This window comes from Homo sapiens, chromosome 12, assembly GCF_000001405.40.
Source record: "Homo sapiens chromosome 12, GRCh38.p14 Primary Assembly".
Taxonomy (NCBI): Eukaryota; Metazoa; Chordata; class Mammalia; order Primates; family Hominidae; genus Homo; species Homo sapiens.
The window spans coordinates 80,232,596-80,253,665 of record NC_000012.12 but is presented as its reverse complement, the minus strand read 5'-3'; the positions used below and the strand labels follow the sequence as shown (position 1 = coordinate 80,253,665).

The 21,070-nt window shown below is 37.3% G+C and overlaps 1 protein-coding gene across 7 annotated transcripts in view, besides 2 other annotated features; it reads right to left on the bottom strand.

Moving 5' to 3' along the window:
• Positions 1-21,070, bottom strand: part of OTOGL (otogelin like) — a 281,344-nt gene that overhangs the window by 127,215 nt on the left and 133,059 nt on the right. For all 7 annotated transcript variants that reach the window (NM_001368062.3, NM_001378610.3, NM_001378609.3 and 4 more), the window contains 6 exons: positions 20,569-20,774; positions 14,688-14,815; positions 14,227-14,333; positions 1,867-1,973; positions 1,465-1,590; positions 92-200 (listed from right to left, as the gene is read on the bottom strand). In NM_001368062.3, the coding sequence (NP_001354991.2) occupies positions 92-200; positions 1,465-1,590; positions 1,867-1,973; positions 14,227-14,333; positions 14,688-14,815; positions 20,569-20,774 (783 nt within the window). The remainder of the gene's footprint in view (positions 1-91; positions 201-1,464; positions 1,591-1,866; positions 1,974-14,226; positions 14,334-14,687; positions 14,816-20,568; positions 20,775-21,070) is intronic.
• Positions 3,138-3,729: an enhancer, noted in NCBI's record as "H3K27ac-H3K4me1 hESC enhancer chr12:80643717-80644308 (GRCh37/hg19 assembly coordinates)". NCBI's record gives its function as "activates a minimal SCP1, AML or CMV promoter by ChIP-STARR-seq in naive H9 embryonic stem cells {active_cell/tissue: H9 hESC(naive)}" and the evidence as "EXISTENCE:reporter gene assay evidence [ECO:0000049][PMID:30033119]".
• Positions 3,730-4,322: an enhancer, noted in NCBI's record as "H3K27ac-H3K4me1 hESC enhancer chr12:80643124-80643716 (GRCh37/hg19 assembly coordinates)". NCBI's record gives its function as "activates a minimal SCP1, AML or CMV promoter by ChIP-STARR-seq in naive H9 embryonic stem cells {active_cell/tissue: H9 hESC(naive)}" and the evidence as "EXISTENCE:reporter gene assay evidence [ECO:0000049][PMID:30033119]".

Here is a 21,070-nt window from a genome sequence, read left to right as displayed (position 1 = left end):
GTAATGAGTATATTCCTTTAAACATCTGTCATGGTAAAGTTGTCAACTAGCCAAGTACCCAGAAATAATTGGCTGCACACTGATCACATACCATTCAGTACATTCTTGTTCAATTTTTGAACCAACTGAATAAGCTAATCCATGAAAACCGCATGGGCAATTTTCCAAGGAGATGCAAGTCCCATTGTCCATTACGAGGCCTAATTGAGAAGAAATACACATCAAAATTTCAAAAGAAATAATAAAGATTGTATTTCTGGAATATAATAATTCAACCAACTTCTGTTGAATACCTACGCATGATGCTGGAAATACAAATTTCTTTACTTTCAGTGGGATTACTGACAACCTGACTCTCAGGCAGTAGCTACCTTAAAGGATCTATTTCAGTAGTTTTCAATTTTCTTATCCCATGACTTGCCATCAAAAACTCAAGGTTCACCATACAGAATAAAGGAAACAAAACAATGTTTCCTTGCATTTGAGGGAGGAAGGGAGAGAAGGAGGGAGAAAGTACATTTTTAGTTTAGTTTCTGTTCATTCCAAGATGAGAAAGATTTACACTGTCACACAGAATCATAAAGAGCTAGGTACTGCTACTCAAATGTCCAAGACCATGCGACTGCATTTGTTACTGCTGTCTGACAGGTAAAGGAGGTTGAGCCAGAATTTAAATCAGCCATGTTACTAAGCACAGTGTTTCATTCAGCTGACCTTTTCATGGTAAGACTGTAGGAGAAAGCACTGACTTTATTTTGGTGCTTGGGCTTACATTCTGGTGCAAATGCCTTATCTTGTCATTGACAGGTCACAAACAGCTCAGACTAGCACTGGTCCGCCATACTTTGAGTAGCACTAACAGAACAATGAGCAGAGGCCAAACAGATCTGGTTCCAAGTAATCCTCACTCAGTTAATGAGGATATTGGGAAAATCACTTATCTCTGTGATTCTATTTTTTTAATCTGTAAAAATAAAAAGGGTTTGAGTAAATCCTCAGTGTTCTTTAGAAACAGCTATCAGTATAGCAGATTCATTCCTAATTTTAAATCCTACCTCTCTCACTTGCTAAGTTACTTTTAATTTCAAATATTAAAACTACATCAGTACTAGATTGTGCCAGAAAAATGTGAAACCTTTCTCTCAAACTTCCTTTCCTTTTTTAAAAAGTGAAGATATATAAATTGTTAAATACCATTAAATATTGATCGAACAAAAGATTTCTCATGGGTAACTTCAGGACTATAGATTCCAAATTTCCTGGAAACTTTACAAAGTAATGAGCCTTTTATCAATGAAAAGTAGCCATTCCTCCTTGTCACTTCAAGGACCAACTTCTACAAGAACAGAAAATTGCAATAGGTCCAATGTACTGGGAAAGGACAGCAAAACGAAGATGTGATCCTTAGATCACTGGGTACTAGTTTCCATGAGTGCAGACATGGTTTCTTCATGAAGCACTTACCATCTGGGCAGTAACATCCATCAAGACAATGGAGATTGCTCCCAAGACATTGCTTCTCAAATGTGCAGGTTGGTGGACAACAACTGATACAGTCCCGATGGACAAAGCTATCATCACATTTATCAGCTAAAACAGACAAACAGGGGAGCTTAAGTCAATTTTATTAGCCTCTATTTCTTTTTTAAAATTATAATTTTATTTTTTACAAAAAATAATTTGCAAAAAATAACTTTTAATTGCAAAAAAATTGCATACTTGTTTCAAAAAGTATGCAAGTTCATGGATATCTCAATAACAAATCCTTGCAATTCATTAGTATTGAGTAGTACAGTAAGTTTTGAGTTCTAGGTTTAACCCAAAATTGGCAAAAGTACACAGGGCTTGGAAAATAAAAAAACATACTGCATGCTGGAAAGTCATCTCTCCAGTCTTGAATAGGGTAGCCAGCATGAGAGCAGGCTCTAGCATACTCAGTGGCTGCTCGGCAATAGGTTTCATCATCATCAGTTCTAGAAAGTGAAAAGACAGAGCCAGAATCACATAGGAAATATTGACAGAAACCATACCATTGAGGTCCTGATCCCTAGAAATGCTGAGTGCATGATGAATACTCCGATGTTAATTGATGTCAGCATATGTGTCACTCATAATATATCTTATTAAGTACAACAATGCAGAAAACACATGAGCATGGGTCCCCAGCTAATTAGGCCTAGATAAATAATCTTCATCAAAGCATTTTAATAATTTTATCACTTTTCTTTTGAGTCAAAGGAATACTATAATGAAAAAGATTTATATTTTAATTATAACATTTTCCCCATAATCCGTGTATTTTTTCACTCACACACAAAACATTCCAGGCCTTTTAGAATTTAATAAGTCCTGTTAAAACAGATAAAATTCTATCACCACAAAAACAATAAATATGAAAGCTGTTTCCAAAAGATCATACTCTTGATTATCCACATACTGGAATAAAACCAATACCAATAATCTATAGTAATCAAAAGTATTTTAATGGTTCCTCAGCAGTTCTTGCAATAAGAATCCAAAACGTAGTTATTCCATGATGTATATGTGCCACATTTTCTTTATCCAGTCTATCACTGATGGGCAATTGGGTTGTTTGAAAGATTGAATAAATGGCATTTAAGATTTAAAAGAGGATTTTGAATTCTTTCAAGTTTAAATTACTAAAGCTAATTATTTTTATAACATTGCCAAGACTAAATAATCTTTAATTATTTTCTTATAATCACTTCAGGAGCTTCCCCCCAAAATAATTTCCTATTAGAGCTCTGAAAATTCCCAAAGCAGATTAACAAGGCACTTATCAAGTAAGCAGATTTACACCAAGGTAGAGGGCTTGTTTTTCAACCTAATCCAAACTCAAAATTGAATAGTTAAATATCTTAGGAGATAATGGTCTTAAGAATGCTGCATTTTGTGAGGCTTAACATTTTCAGTGTCACTATTGTAAAAGCCACCATCTCAAATTGCCCTTATCCTGTGCTACTGTAATGGGAGTCCTGCAGCTTATCTAGTCCAATCAACTGAACTTTAGAACGAAAAAAGGACTGAGCATATAAACTCTAGAGGCTCAGAAAATATTCTAAACCTACAAATAAGAAAAGTCTTTTCAAAACAGTTTAGGCTAAAATTGCTAAATTCCTGGAAAGACATTACATTTATGATTTACCTTCTAATATGTGCATTCTTTCCTACATTAACGGTGGTTTTAAAAGTTAGCAAAGCAACTGAATATTGGTTTTCCAGCCCAATGCAACTATTACTATAATACTCACCATTTGTTGTTTATGTTATTCTAGGAACCATGACAGGCACATTAATATGTGACACCTCATGAAAACTCACAATAATTGGGCAAGAAAGAAATTATTATCAAGAAAAAAATTATAATTTACTAAGGGGAAAATAAGTTTATTTTTTCCATTTTGAATGATAACTTTAATAGGAAAAATGGGTATTAAAGAATCTTGGTTTTCAGACTCTCGAGCCAAGATGGCCGAATAGGAACAGCTCCGGTCTACAGCTCCCAGCGTGAGCGACACAGAAGACAGGTGATTTCTGCATTTCCATCTGAGGTACCGGGTTCATCTCACTAGGGAGTGCCAGACAGTGGGCGCAGGTCAGTGGGTGCGCGCACCGTGCGCGAGCCGAAGCAGGGCGAGGCATTGCCTCACCTGGGAAGCGCAAGGGGTCAGGGAGTTCCCTTTCCGAGTCAAAGAAAGGGCTGACGGACGCACCTGGAAAATCGGGTCACTCCCACCCGAATATTGCGCATTTCAGACCGGCTTAAAAAACGGCGCACCACGAGACTATATCCCACACCTGCCTCGGAGGGTCCTACGCCCACGGAGTCTCACTGATTGCTAGTACAGCAGTCTGAGATCAAACTGCAAGGCGGCAGCGAGGCTGGGGGAGGGGCGCCCGCCATCGCCCAGGCTTCCTTAGGTAAACAAAGCAGCCGGGAAGCTCGAACTGGGTGGAGCCCACCACAGCTCAAGGAGGCCTACCTGCCTCTGTAGGCTCCACCTATGGTGGCAGGGCACAGACAAACAAAAAGACAGCAGTAACCTCTGCAGACTTAAATGTCCCTGTCTGACAGCTTTGAAGAGAGCAGTGGTTCTCCCAGCACGCAGCTGGAGATCTGAGAACAGGCAGACTGCCTCCTCAAGTGGGTCCCTGACCCCTGACCCCCGAGCAGCCTAACTGGGAGGCACCCCCCAGCAGGGGCACACTGACACCTCACACGGCAGGGTATTCCAACAGACCTTCAGCTGAGGGTCCTGTCTGTTAGAAGGGAAACTAACAAACAGAAAGGACATCCACACCGAAAACCCATCTGTATATCACCATCATCAAAGACCAAAAGTAGATAAAACCACAAAGATGGGGAAAAAACACAACAGAAAAACTGGAAACTCTAAAACGCAGAGCGCCTCTCCTCCTCCAAAGGAACGCAGTTCCTCACCAGCAACGGAACAAAGCTGGATGGAGAATGATTTTGACGAGCTGAGAGAAGAAGGCTTCAGACGATCAAATTACTCTGAGCTACGGGAGGACATTCAAACCAAAGGCAAACAAGTTGAAAACTTTGAAAAAAATTTAGAAGAATGTATAACTAGAATAACCAATACAGAGAAGTGCTTAAAGGAGCTGATGGAGCTGAAAACCAAGGCTCGAGAACTACGTGAAGAATGCAGAAGCCTCAGGAGCCGATGCGATCAAATGGAAGAAAGGGTATCAGCAATGGAAGATGAAATGAATGAAATGAAGTGAGAAGGGAAGTTTAGAGAAAAAAGAATAAAAAGAAATGAGCAAAGCCTCCAAGAAATATGGGACTATGTGAAAAGACCAAATCTACATCTGATTCGTGTACCTGAAAGTGATGGGGAGAATGGAACCAAGTTGGAAAACACTCTGCAGGATATTATCCAGGAGAACTTCCCCAATCTAGCAAGGCAGGCCAACGTTCAGATTCAGGAAATACAGAGAACACCACAAAGATACTCCTCGAGAAGAGCAACTCCAAGACACATAATTGTCAGATTCACCAAAGTTGAAATGAAGGAAAAAATGTTAAGGGCAGCCAGAGAGAAAGGTCGGGTTACCCTCAAAGGGAAGCCCATCAGACTAACAGCGGATCTCTCGGCAGAAACCCTACAAGCCAGAAGAGAGTGGGGGCCAATATTCAACATTCTTAAAGAAAAGAATTTGCAACCCAGAATTTCATATCCAGCCAAACTAAGCTTCATAAGTGAAGGAGAAATAAAATACTTTATAGACAAGCAAATGCTGAGAGATTTTGTCACCACCAGGCCTGCCCTAAAAGAGCTCCTGAAGGAAGCACTAAACATGGAAAGGAACAACTGGTACCAGCCGCTGCAAAATCATGCCAAAATGTAAAGACCATCGAGACTAGGAAGAAACTGCATCAACTAACGAGCAAAATGACCAGCTAACATCATAATGACAGGATCAAATTCACACATAACAATATTAACTTTAAATGTAAATGGACTAAATGCTCCAATTAAAAGACACAGACTGGCAAGTTGGATAAAGAGTCAAGACCCATCAGTGTGCTGTATTCAGGAAACCCATCTCACGTGCAGAGACACACATAGGCTCAAAATAAAAGGATGGAGGAAGATCTACCAAGCAAATGGAAAACAAAAAAAGGCAGGGGTTGCAATCCTAGTCTCTGATAAAACAGACTTTAAACCAACAAAGATCAAAAGAGACAAACAAGGCCATTACATAATGGTAAAGGGATCAATTCAACAAGAGGAGCTAACTATCCTAAATATATATGCACCCAATACAGGAGCACCCAGATTCATAAAGCAAGTCCTGAGTGACCTACAAAGAGACTTAGACTCCCACACATTAATAATGGGAGACTTTAACACCCCACTGTCAACATTACACAGATCAACGAGACAGAAAGTCAACAAGGATACCCAGGAATTGAACTCAGCTCTGCACCAAGCAGACCTAATAGACATCTACAGAACTCTCCACCCCAAATCAACAGAATATACATTTTTTTCAGCACCACACCACACCTATTCCAAAATTGACCACATAGTTGGAAGTAAAGCACTCCTCAGCAAATGTAAAAGAACAGAAATTATAACAAACTATCTCTCAGACCACAGTGCAATCAAACTAGAACTCAGGATTAAGAATCTCACTCAAAGCCGCTCAACTACATGGAAACTGAACAACCTGCTCCTGAATGACTACTGGGTACATAACGAAATGAAGGCAGAAATAAAGATGTTCTTTGAAACCAACGAGAACAAAGACACAACATACCAGAATCTCTGGGACGCATTCAAAGCAGTGTGTAGAGGGAAATTTATAGCACTAAATGTCCACAAGAGAAAGCAGGAAAGATCCAAAATTGACAGCCTAACATCACAATTAAAAGAACTAGAAAAGCAAGAGCAAACACATTCAAAAGCTAACAGAAGGCAAGAAATAACTAAAATCAGAGCAGAACTGAAGGAAACAGAGACACAAAAAACCCTTCAAAAAATCAATGAATCCAGGAGCTGGTTTTTTGAAAGGATCAACAAAATTGATAGACTGCTAGCAAGACTAATAAAGAAAAAAAGAGAGAAGAATCAAATAGACACAATAAAAAATGATAAAGGGGATATCACCACCGATCCCACAGAAATACAAACTACCATCAGAGAATACTACAAACACCTCTACGCAAATAAACTAGAAAATCTAGAAGAAATGGATACATTCCTCGACACATACACTCTCCCAAGACTAAACCAGGAAGAAGTTGAATCTCTGAATAGACCAATAACAGGATCTGAAATTGTGGCAATAATCAATAGTTTACCAACCAAAAAGAGTCCAGGACCAGATGGATTCACAGCCGAATTCTACCAGAGGTACAAGGAGGAACTGGTACCATTCCTTCTGAAACTATTCCAATCAATAGAAAAAGAGGGAATCCTCCCTAACTCATTTTATGAGGCCAGCATCATTCTGATACCAAAGCCGGGAAGAGACACAACCAAAAAAGAGAATTTTAGACCAATATCCTTGATGAACATTGATGCAAAAATCCTCAATAAAATACTGGCAAACCGAATCCAGCAGCACATCAAAAAGCTTATCCACCATGATCAAGTGGGCTTCATCCCTGGGATGCAAGGCTGGTTCAATATACGCAAATCAATAAATGTAATCCAGCATATAAGCAGAGCCAAAGACAAAAACCACATGATTATCTCAATAGATGCAGAAAAAGCCTTTGACAAAATTCAACAACCCTTCATGCTAAAAACTCTCAATAAATTAGGTATTGATGGGACGTATTTCAAAATAATAAGAGCTATCTATGACAAACCCACAGCCAATATCATTCTGAATGGGCAAGAACTGGAAGCATTCCCTTTGAAAACCGGCACAAGACAGGGATGCTCTCTCTCACCGCTCCTATTCAACATAGTGTTGGAAGTTCTGGCCAGGGCAATCAGGCAGGAGAAGGAAATAAAGGGTATTCAATTAGGAAAAGAGGAAGTAAAATTGTCCCTGTTTGCAGATGACATGATTGTGTATCTAGAAAACCCCATTGTCTCAGCCCAAAATCTCCTTAAGCTGGTAAGCAACTTCAGCAAAGTCTCAGGATACAAAATCAATGTACAAAAATCACAAGCATTCTTATACACCAACAACAGACAAACAGAGAGCCAAATCATGAGTGAACTCCCATTCACAATTGCTTCAAAGAGAATAAAATACCTAGGAATCCAACTTACAAGGGATGTGAAGGACCTCTTCAAGGAGAACTACAAACCACTGCTCAAGGAAATAAAAGAGGATACAAACAAATGGAAGAACATTCCATGCTCATGGGTAGGAAGAATCAATATCGTGAAAATGGCCATACTGCCCAAGGTAATTTACAGATTCAATGCCATCCCCATCAAGCTACCAATGACTTTCTTCACAGAATTGGAAAAAACTACTTTAAAGTTCATATGGAACCAAAAAAGAGCCCGCATCGCCAAGTCAATCCTAAGCCAAAAGAACAAAGCTGGAGGCATCACACTACCTGACTTCAAACTATACTACAAGGCTACAGTAACCAAAACAGCATGGTACTGGTACCAAAACAGAGATATAGATCAATGGAACAGAACAGAGCCCTCAGAAATAACGCCGCATACCTACAACTATCTGATCTTTGACAAACCTGAGAAAAACAAGCAATGGGGAAAGGATTCCCTATTTAATAAATGGTGCTGGGAAAACTGGCTAGCCATATGTAGAAAGCTGAAACTGGATCCCTTCCTTACACCTTATACAAAAATCAATTCAAGATGGATTACAGATTTAAACGTTAGACCTAAAACCATAAAAACCCTAGAAGAAAACCTAGGCATTACCATTCAGGACATAGGCGTGGGCAAGGACTTCATGTCCAAAACACCAAAAGCAATGGCAACAAAAGCCAAAATTGACAAATGGGATCTAATTAAACTAAAGAGCTTCTGCACAGCAAAAGAAACTACCATCAGAGTGAACAGGCAACCTACAACATGGGAGAAAATTTTTGCAACCTACTCATCTGACAAAGGGCTAATATCCAGAATCTACAATGAACTCAAACAAATTTACAAGAAAAAAACAAACAACCCCATCAAAAAGTGGGCAAAGAACAGACACTTCTCAAAAGAAGACATTTATGCAGCCAAAAAACACATGAAAAAATGCTCATCATCACTGGCCATCAGAGAAATGCAAATCAAAACCACTATGAGATATCATCTCACACCAGTTAGAATGGCAATCATTAAAAAGTCAGGAAACAACAGGTGCTGGAGAGGATGTGGAGAAATAGGAACACTTTTACACTGTTGGTGGGACTGTAAACTAGTTCAACCATTGTGGAAGTCATTGTGGTGATTCCTCAGGGATCTAGAACTAGAAATACCATTGGACCCAGCCATCCCATTACTGGGTATATACCCAAAGGTATATCATGCTGCTATAAAGACACATGCACACATATGTTTATTGCAGCATTATTCACAATAGCAAAGACTTGGAACCAACCCAAATGTCCAACAATGATAGACTGGATTAAGAAAATGTGGCACATATACACCATGGAATACTATGCAGCCATAAAGAATGATGAGTTCATGTCCTTTGTAGGGACATGGATGAAATTGGAAATCATCATTCTCAGTAAACTATCGCAAGAACAAAAAACCAAACACGGCATATTCTCACTCATAGGTGGGAATTGAACAATGAGATCACATGGACACAGGAAGGGGAATATCACACTCTGGGGACTGTGGTGGGGTGGGGGGAGGGGGGAGGGATAGCATTGGGAGATATACCTAATGCTAGATGATGAGTTAGTGGGTGCAGCGCACCAGCACAGCACATGTATACATATGTAACTAACCTGCACAATGTGCACATGTACCCTAAAACTTAAAGTATAAAAAAAAAAAAAGAAAAAAAGAAAAAATAGGACTTTCGTCCTTCTTCCATAGCTTCTTAGATACCATCATTAGTGGCACAGACTAGCATGGAGAAACTGCACAGGAATGAATTCCATGCTCAATGTTGTGGTTTTAGCCAAGATATTCTGAGTTGGAATTCTCTTCCTGGGTGCCATGATGAAGAAGGGAGGATTTCTGCGCCTAGTTTGTACTGGTGGAATGTTGAAGCCTTTAGACTAAAGGAAATGTAAACCGGCTCCATCTCAGAGAAGGAGGATCAAATTTCTGCAATGCAGAAATCAATAATGGAATCGTATATATATATATATATGTATATATGATTATATTATATATAGAATTGCATTATATATGGAAATATATATTTTATATATAAAATGTGTTTATTATATATTTGTTATATATATAATTCTATAGTCTAAGGGCTTCGACATTTTGTCATTTCAAATTAGGTGTAGAAACTTTCCTTTATTTAGCATATTTTTTATCCTTTCCAGTTTATGATTATATCAATTATTTTCTCAACATACATTGAGAACAATATCAGAGTGTCAGAATTTTTGCTCCAATATCACACGTAATTTGGAAAACTCAAGAGGAGGAGGAAATTCTATTGTATTCACCATATTTTTACTCTCCCCATTCACCTTTTTTTTAATGTTTCAAGATTTCTTATTTTTATCATATCCTTTATATTGAGAGAATGTCCGTTACCCATACTTTTAGGGTAGGAGTATTGGTAAAAATTTTGCTTAGTTTTTACTTCATCTGAGAATGATGATTTCTGAAATTCATCTGAGAATGATTGATTTTCCTTTCATCCCCATAAAATATTTTCATTGGATACTGAATGCTTATTGGTAGGGTTTCTTTTCCCAGTACTTTAAAGAAAATTTAAGCCACTTCCTTCTGGTCTCCATGGTTTCTGATGAGATATTATCTTTCATTTAAATGACTTTTCCTCTGTAGGTTAAGGTGTCATTCTCTCACACTGCTTTCAAGAATTTTTCTTTGTTTAGGTTCTAGAAATTTGACTACAATGTGTCTTGGTATGGATTTTTTAGATTTGTTCTATTTGGATTTGCTCAATAATTTCCACTCTTTCATTTTTAATAAACAATTAAAGAGCAAAAAAAAAAATCTTGGTTTTCACATCAATTGGCTTTGGCATCGCAAAATTAAAATCATTTCCTTGCTGCTGGGTTTGGCATTCTTAGAAGCAGAAACAGGACGGCATAATTCAAGGATTGGTGGAGTATCACACAAGTTCCAAGTCAAATGTTATCTCTTCCGTGGAGCCTGTGTAGGCACTCTCTGATAAAGTTAATAGTTCTGTCCTCTACATTTAAAGCACTTTGAATTTAGGGCGTTGTGTCATTGTTAGAGACCTGTTTCTCTGCCCTATTAGAATATGAGTTCCTAGGACAGAGATCATGTCTAAATTTTTTCTCTTTCTCCAAGGAGTGACAAAATACTCAGCTCAGAATAGATACTCAAAAGATGTGTGTTGAATTGAATTCAATACACTATCATAACCCAAGCAGGAAATTAATCTGTGTTCAACCAATTCACATTTTCATTCTCATAGTATGGGACCCTTGTGATGCAGTCCCCTAATACAGGAAATGAAGAGAATCACTCATTTCCTACAGAATGGAAGAAAGAATGTAAATAGGTCTAGCCCTGAATGAAATATTGAGGGGAGTGAAAGGCTGGCTCTGGCAGCTTCTCACTTCCATTTTATCAACGTCCACTTAATTATAATGTCCTTCCTTTGTTATTACATGCCTGCTTTGTCCCTAAACCCAGCCTCTCTACCACAAAGGTATCTCTTAAGGTGTCAGCTGATTTCAGCCAGCACAAGTTGCTTCTCTATCCTGCTATTTTTGTTTTCCCTGGAGAAAGCATCAAAGTTTCAAAAGTCAAAGTCTAAAAACTATCAACATTTCAAAAGACAAAAATGTTAATTTCTCAATGATGAAATTTCAGATGAAGTGGGTGTAGCAGAGACTGATTTTTATCTCCAGTTCCCCCTTCTCCTTTTTAGTATCAGAACATCCAAGTTTTTGCCAGGTAGATGGCTGCCAGCCAAAGACAACATGTTTCGGCTTCTCTTGCACCTAGGTGTGGCCATGTATCCAAGTTCTGGCCAAAAGGTTAAAAGTGGAAGCATGCATGAAACTTCCAGATCAAAAGATGCCAGTCCTTTTGGTTTTTTTTCTCCCTTTTTAAGGGCTAAAATGTGGACATGATAGTGGTGATGCAGTTTGGGCCATGAAATTGAAAATAATAACCTCGACAAAAGGAAAAATGTAGCAACAAGATCATTCAGTCACTGGAAAACTCATGGAGCAGAGCCACGATGCCAATCCAAGACCACTAACCGGCATGGATTTTTATGTAAGAGAAATATAAACATTCCATTTAATTTAAGTCACAGTCATTTTAGCTGTTGAAGCGGCTAAACAACATCCTGAACTAAAAAATGCAGAATGATTTTCCTGGACCTACAAAACAATATTTTATCTCAGACTACTTGACAAATGGGTGCTAAAGATATTAAAGATAAGGCAATTGAAAAGATGACTGGAGAATAGTCCAAGACTGAGACACTGTGGAATAAGAACAATTTTAATTCCATATATGTGACTAAATAAGGACTATGGCCTACCTACAGCCATCCTTAAAAAAGAGAAAAAAAACAACAACAAAGAGCTATAGCAAGTAGCTCTTAAATTAAAAATGAAACCAAATAGGGAATAGAATTTTAAAAAATATATAGTAAGGTCACTAGCCAATATTTTAGGCAGAGTGGGGGTTCTTTCAAGGCTCCTGCATTAGTTCAGGAATCCTTGCAATTTAGAGACTATACATATAAATCTAGGTATAACTGCACTCTATTCAAAAGTAAGAGATGTCACAAATAAGCTTATTTTAGTATCTGGAAAATATTACATTTGTTATTTTTGTAATAATTTCAATTTAATTAGAGAGGAGTAGTTATAAACAACACAATTTCATACTACCTCAACCTTTCCTCTTTGTTCTCACCTTTGATAAACCTCTTAATGAGCTACTCAAGACGTCATTTAAGTGGTTTTACTAAACTAAAAACTAGTCTGGTTTTTTATTTTAAAAGTTTCTATGTATCACTTATACTTCTTGGGATTCATAAAATATACAGACATATTAAAATTTCTTTAGCTACTCTTGAAGGTTCAAGATGAGTAATCACATATACTTGGTGATGTTTTGAAAGAAAAATAATTTTAAAAAACTTTAATTATGAGTAATTTATGGTAGGTTCTACAATGAACTACCATTCATGAACATAGTATGATGAGTCTCACTAAATTTGTTGCTTATGCAACCACCTATCCTAGATGTTCACAACCTGAGATAGAATGCAGGAATCTGTGACCTTAGGTAGAAGAAAATTACATGTTTATTTTCATTAATTTCCAATGGAAACTTAGCATTTCCTTCAATTGTGCCTATAGGCAACACATCACAATATTCTTAGTGATATCAGTGACTTTGTCACATGTCTCATATGTCCTTTTTTCATATTTTTATATTTTCATTTTCCATTGTTACAGACTCACAAAGCACTGTTTACACTAATCACTATGTCAAACTGCAGTAGTTATTAGATTTGAAATGCGTGTTAAAAGCATATATATCAGAAATTCATTTTTTAATTATTTTGATAACTACTTTATTAGAATTAGTTTTGTTTGGTATCTTATGTGTTTTATTTTGTGCATTTCAAACATTGTTTTTGAAAAGGGTCTATGAATTTCTCTAGACTCCCAAAAGGGATTCACGGCATAAAAATGCTTAAGAGCCACAGTATTTGTTCATGCTAGTTAGGTAAAACATTTATAACTACCATTCATATATAATCTAGCAATCCACTAAGGAGTATATATCCCCCAAAAAACAAAATCAACATATGGAAGAGATATTTGCACTCCTGTGTTTATTGTAGAAGTATTCACAATAGACAAAATATGGAATCAACCTGTGTCCATCAGTGGATGAATGGATAAAAAAAATTGTGGTATATATACACAATGGAATATTATTCAGCCATAAAAAAGAATGAAATCCTGTAATTTGCAACAACATGGATGAAACTGGAGGTCACTATGTTAAGTGAAATAAGCCAAACAGAAAGACAAATATCACACATTCTCACTCATATGTGGGAACTAAAACAGTGAATCTCATGAAGATAGAGTGTAGATTGGTGGTTACCAGAGTCCAGGAAGGGTAGGAGAGAGGTGGGGGTGAAGAAAGATTACTTATGGGTACAATGTACATGTAGAAGAAATAAGACCTGGTGTTGGATAGAAAAGTAGGGGGGACTATAGCTAACATTAATCAATTGTATATTTCAGAATAGCAAGAAGATAATAATTTGAATGTTCCTAGCATAAAGAAAACTGTTTAAGGTGACAGGTACCCAATTCCCTTTATTTGATTACACGAATGTATTAAATTATCACACATACCCTGAAAATATGTACATCTACTATGTATCAATAAAAAAAATTAGACGGTGACTGTTATATAGCAAACTTTTAATAGCTGTTTGCAGTTTATATTTTACATTTCCCATAATATTTTGTGAACAGCTGAAATGGTTAAGTAACAGAAGTAGTTGTGGGTCTTCTTTTTGCATAAAGAAAATTTTATTACAACTACAAGTCATTTCACTTACTTGCAAAGATCATTAACACAGCTGGCAATATATAAGTATGGATCGATATACTCATGGCAGCTCAGAAAAGGAAACTGCAACAGTATCTGACACTTGAAGAAGATTGCCTGTGCAAAAAAAGATGGCAGTCACTAGACTATGTTTCATGGTATGTGTATAGTCTTCTATTATTTTTACAGATCTATTTGCAAGATTTTCAGTTCTCACAAGGAAAAAGATGGTAACTTATACATTTTAACTAACATTTTTCTGACTACATTATTTTCATGAGTACTGCATTTATGAAATTCACTACATTCACTATTTCTAAAATTAAGGTGATTTCCTATTGCAATTACATTTCCTGGATATAATATTTTTAAATTATGTTGTGTTTACACTAAAAAATGCTTAGTTAATTATACAAATAAGATATATGTGTATTCTGTCTGACATGCCCACATTTCTCACATCAAATTTACCTCAAATGCTGGCATTCCACTGGAGCACGGATTTGGAAAATCTGAGGGTGTGAGTACACATTTGGTGTCATCTGGAGTTTGCACCGACCAACTATTTGCAAACATAGCGATGTCTTCTGTATAGTCCTCTATTTCACACAGGCACACACACACACACACACAAATAGGTGTAATCATATCATTTTCCACAAACAGACATGGTTCTTCAACACAAACTTCCTGGTCAAAACATTAAACTCAGTAACATTATAATTACCAATGTGATATTAGATAATAACATTACTTTATCATAATAAAAACAAATTGAACAAAATGTGGGTACCAAATAAAAGTTAGTTCCATTGGAAAGAAAAAGCAAACTGCATTCAAACAACATGGGGAAGGATTGAAGGTGAGTGAGTACAACGTACACACCAGTGAAGCATTTATCGCCAATGTTCAATCAGTGCTGTTGAAAGGAGAAAAAATATGCGTAAAACGAAAAAATATAAACGTTTAGTGTAAAAATTATCAGGCAGCTCTCTCATTATATTTAATATTAGTAAGAACCTTATTAAAATTGCAGTTATATTTGGTGGACAGGGTCCACACAAAAAAAAACTTGTCAAATTCTTTGGGACATTTCAGAGGACAGTCACATAGGCAATGAAAGACTGGAAAACACATCAATAGAAGAGAAGACTAAGAAGTGTATCTATTTCATCTAAATATGATGAACAGTGTTTTGAAACATGCTCAGGAAAGACATCCCTACTGAGAACCCTAAAGCTAATCCAGCATTAATCTCAGGCAAGATTCAGGAGTTAATGTGTGGGCAACAACAAACAGATATTTGGTAGTGAGTGCTCTGACTCAACAGAGTGCTCTCTGTTCTAAATCAAGTTTTTAAGTTGTCTCTCTACCTGATCTGAGAACAAGTTCAGGGAATGATGCAAAAATTAATCCTTCCCCTCCTCCATTCAGACAAAGGCTGAATCTCAAAGCTCAAAGACTTGGCAAAATCAAACAAGATGACATCTCAAAGTTCCATGTAAGACAGACTTCAGATTTGAGGTTGGAGTTCTCCACCACCCAGATTTGCATGGTCAGAAGTCAACAACTGATGACAATCTATTGCACCACTAGAGTCAGAAATCTCCAGCCAAATGTTTGCCACTCTCTCTGAATATCTTCAAAGTAGAAAAATAATGTGTGCATTCCACTATCAAACGCCGGGAAGATGAGAGACTTTATTATCTGTAAGAATGCTTTGCTCTCTTGGAGTAAAATCCTAAACTTTACCATAGCCTAGCAGACTTTGCATGAGCTGGGCCCTGTTCTCCCCTTACTCCCAACCCGCTCTGCCCCTCATATATCTTCTGCACCTTTTCTTGCTCAACCTACTCCAGTCATATTAACTTTGTGCTGTTCTTCAAACACTCAAACTCATTCCCACCTCAGAACACTTGCTCTTGTTCTTCCTCCTTCAAAACCACTCTTTCCTAAAATCTTCTCACTGTTGCCTCCCTTACTTCATATAGGCCTGTTTAATGTATGCCTCAGAGAGCCCTTCTCTGACATGTGATCTAGACTAGCACCAATCACACACTTGCTCCATCACTCTTTACCTTCTTTCTCTACCTTTTTCTTTAATGGCTGCTATTGCTCACAAAAATTATATTTTGCTCTGTTTATTTTATTTTCCATTACAATACATACTATATGAAGGCAGAGAGCTTGTTTCAGCTGTTCTATTGCTGTATCCCTAGTGTAGTATCTGGCATATAGTAGGTACTCAAAATATATTTGCTAAATAAGTGAATGAATACATATAGGGGAATTTGTGAAATTTATTAAAGAGATTATTAGAATCCCAGGGCTTTCAGGCTGGGTGCGGTGACTCACGCCTGTAATCCCAGCACTCTGGGAGGCTGAGGTGGGTGGATCACAGGAGGCCAGGAGTACGAGACTGGCCTGGCCAACACGGTGAAACCCCATCTCTAATAAGAATACAAAAATTAGCCAGGCATGGTGGTGCACGCCTGTAATCCCAGCTACTCAGGAGGCTGAGGCACGAGACTTGTTTGAACCCGGGAGGAGGAGGTTACAGTGAGCCAAGATCGCGCCACTGCACTCCAGCCTGTGCGACAGAGAAAGACCCTGTCTCAAACAAAAAAAAAAAAGAAAAGAAAAAGAAAAAAAGAAAAACAAAAACAAAAACGAAAAGAATCCTAGGGCTTTCTAATTTGTCTGGCCTGCTGCTTTGTCTCTGATATCACTGAAATGTTGCACACTGAGGAAAGTATGGGCCTGCTGTAATATACTTTTTAAAAATGGAAAAACTGATGTCCTTTTTAAGTACACTTATAGTTACATTTCCTTTCAAAACATTTTTTAGAGGTCTAAAGAAACAAAAACATTTTCTAGAAACCCACTTATTTCAATACTTACACACGAATTTTAATGTGACTAAACAACCTGGCCAATCCCTTAGAGTTCACTTTAATTGCAGCTTTTGAACCAAGTATTTAGCTATTTTATACTGCATCAAGGGTCCTAAAAGTTGTTTATCAGGAGATTTTTCAATCCATATCTAATGGTGGTGTGGGAGCCTGCTAAACTAAAATTAAAATGCTTTGTATAAAATATGCTCTAAGTAGAGTAATTTACTGTCCATATTGGGACATTTTTGAGAGAGAAAGGCAGGCATTATTAATTATTATGCTGGGAAAAAAATGAAAGTAGACCAGGACTTCTATGTTGTCACATAGCTAGATGTAGACATGAATTATGGAAACAGAATTCTCAACTAGACAACAAATTATATTTCTTCCTATGTGTACAGAAATTCTGACAAGTCTAATTTCTTTGTGAAGTCATCCCTGAAGGATGAGTTGGAATGCAGAGAGAAATGCAATTTTAATCACCATTAAGAAACTATGCATTCACTGGCATTCAATCAAACTCACTCTCTCTAAAGATTTTTCTAATCAGCAAAATACAGGTTGAGTTTCAAGAAAATATCAGGCTTCTTAAAGCTAAAGGTAATACTGCTCATCTATAGACATTTTCTTGCATTATTATACTATGGGAGGAAATAGAAAGGCAGTTTCTTGTCAAAGTTGTTTTAAGTTAGGTTTTTTTAAAAAATTACTCTGCCTTATACTGTGAAGCAAATAACATTGTGAAGAAGCTGAAATATTTCCTTAGGTCTTTCCCATATACTTTCCGGAATCCTTCTTGCCTTCTGCCAGTTCAGCTATAATTCCGTTCAATTGCCTTCTGCCAGTCTTCCTCTGGCAGACTGACACCCTTGTGCATGCTGCCCCAGTTGGCTCACTATGAACAACCATTTTATGTTCCAGGTTATCTGGAACATATAAGTCTGTCTGGCCCTTAACTCAAATCTAAGTCTTCCTGCCTCTAACTAGAGCAGATGTTATTTTCTATCCTGACCTCCATACCATGTTCCCTGGGCATCCCAGGAGAAGTTGCCCAAAGCAGTCTTTCTTTTTTTTTTTTTTTTTTTTTTGAGACAGAGTCTTGCTCTGTTGTCCAGGCTGGAGTGCAGTGGCATGATGGTCTCTGCTCACTGCAGCCTCCACCTCCCATGTTCAAGCAATTCTCCTGCCTCAGCATCCTAAGTAGCTGGGATTATAGGTGTCTGCCACCACGCCTGGCTAATTTTTGTATTTTTAGTAGAGACAGGGTTTCACCATGTTGGCTGGGCTGGTCTTGAACTCCTGACCTCAGGTGATCCACCTGCCTCGGCCTTCCAAAGTGCTGGGATTACAGAAGTGAGCCACCACACCTGGCCTACCCCAAAGCAGTCTTTTCTAACTCTACCACAGAGAACTGGACTAAGGATTATTTTTTTTTCGTGAAGCTTTGATACAGAAGAAAAATAAATCAGCAATTACCATCTGACTCATTCTGCCTGCATCCAAAACCCTGCTTCCTAATACAGTCTCAAGATTCCAGATTTGTGACCCCTCTCATTGCAAATGCCAACTGGGTGCAAAACACCATTTCGAGATGATCCCAGTACTATACATTTGTATTGTGCTCAGAAACTTTTAAACACTTTCATTTACATTTTCTCATTCAATATTCACTGGCTGGGAAGCTCCCAGAGTCATTATCATTATCTCTATTTTACATATGAGGAAATTGACTTTTTGGAGCCCTGCTCTCTACTCTAGCTACTAGTAAACTAATCCTGACGATGCATTATCTATCTTGAGCAAAACATTTGCATTTTAATAAAGGCTTCTCAAAGCAATGTAGAGACATTTTCACACGTTTTTATTTCAGCCCCATTATAGGCTTATGGAGAAATACTTGGAGATGACTATAAATTAAATTAAATGTATTGAGTATTACTATGTGCCAGGTACTGTACTGTTTTACACGAATTGTCTCATTTAATCCTTGCAACCCTTATGAAGTATATGCTCTTATTATATCTTTAAACTTATAAAATTTAATAATTGATAAAGCTGAATTTGAATCACACAGTCTGACTCCAGAGCCCATGCTCTAAGTAGTCCTTTCACCATCCTTTAAAACATAACATAGGGGCAAATCATCTCTATTAATTTTATAATATAAAACGGAAGTATTATATAGCACTTTACAGCTTCAATGGCAATTACTCAAACACTTATCTAAGCACAGGGAGCCTGTCAGGTCTGTAATCCAACCCTGACAGTATCAGTTACAAGCTGTGTTACATTGGACACATCACCTTGTGCTCTCATCATAAAATTCAGAAAATAATACTGGCTGAGTGCAAGGGTGCACCTGTAGTCCCAGCTACTTGAGAGGCTGAGACCAGAGGATGACTTGAGCCCAGGAGTTCAAGACCAGCCTGGGCAACATAGCAAGACCCCATCTTAATGAAAAGAAATAGCAAGACCTCATCTTGAACAGAAGAAAAGAAAAGAAAGGAGAGGAAAGGAGAGGAAAGAAAAGACTACTCACCTTACAGGATGTTGTGAGGATTGGGAATAACATAGCTATGTGCTCAAACTATTGTTATAAATATTATCAAAGTATATTATTATTATTACTGACTACTCTGTGAGTTCCAAATTAGCATAGCCCCATTTTACAGCTGAAGAAACTAAGCATAAAAGTGATTAAATGAGTTTCCTCAAATTACAGAACTTATAAAAGTTGAAAGGAGATTCAAACCCAAGTTCACTGGTACTAAGAACAGTATTCTCTTCTTATTGCACTTCCTTGTATGGACCTAAGTCATGATTATGGTTTGTGATTCTCTTATTCTATCACCATTGCACACTAGTATCTGAATTGATACAAAACCTATTTCTTATAACTCACTTTTAGTTTCATAACTTAGATTTAATACATGATCTGGTAGGTATATAAAACCTTTCCAAGTTACTATTCAACTTTCCTGCTCACAGTTGATTATTTTTGCAAAACTATTATTTGTCAATTATTCAACTTATTCCTATCAAGAAGGGATACAAAAATAGTTTTTGACCTAACATAGACATATCTGACCCAAATGGGTTTGAACCACTAGAATATAAACTTGAAGATGTGAAAGGCTTTGTTCACTGATGTATTCCAGGTTCCTAAAGCAGTGGATACAGAGGTATCCCGACCTTCTGACCCAAAGCAAATGCTCTATTAAAATGTGTTATGTGAGTAAGTGCTTCATGCTAATTTAGCAAAGGTAAACTAGTTCATGGTTTTCAAGAATTACACCAAAATATTTTCCTATTCAACCTTTACTTAAAATCACTAAAGCAGGCAAGTGACAGCCACAAATTTTCCCAAAGCTATGACAAGTCTTCTGGGTACAAACAACTTGGTCAGGGGAAGAAGAAGGCTTTAGAAGGTACCCACACATTTATTCTGCTTCACTTACCTTGCAGAATTATGAAATCATCAGATTGAATGTCATTGTAGTTTCCACATAGGCCACATGATTTCCCCTTATGGTCCTCAGACAGCTTGAGGTAGATCCCAGATATCCCGTCCCAAGCCAATGAAAAGCCAAAGGTTGTTTTCACAAGAATGTAGTCAGCTAGTTTCTCAATGAAAATCTGTCCAATTGTCTGAGGCAATGTTAAACTTGAAAAACAGAACAAAAGCTATCTAAGAATGATGATAAAGTCTCAATTACAGATGACATATTTTTAAGTGACTGAGATACAATTAAAAGAAAATGATTACTTGAAATTATTGAATAAGCTGTGCAGCAAGAGCTCCAAAGCAACCATCCTCTGGAAAATCTCAACATTTTTGAAAACTTCAGTATTGAAATAAAGACACAACAAAAATGATGCTGCTTTCTTATACTGATTTAGATTTTGTACTTACAATTAGATGCTTCTTTGAACCAACCAAAAACACACAGCTGCTAAATA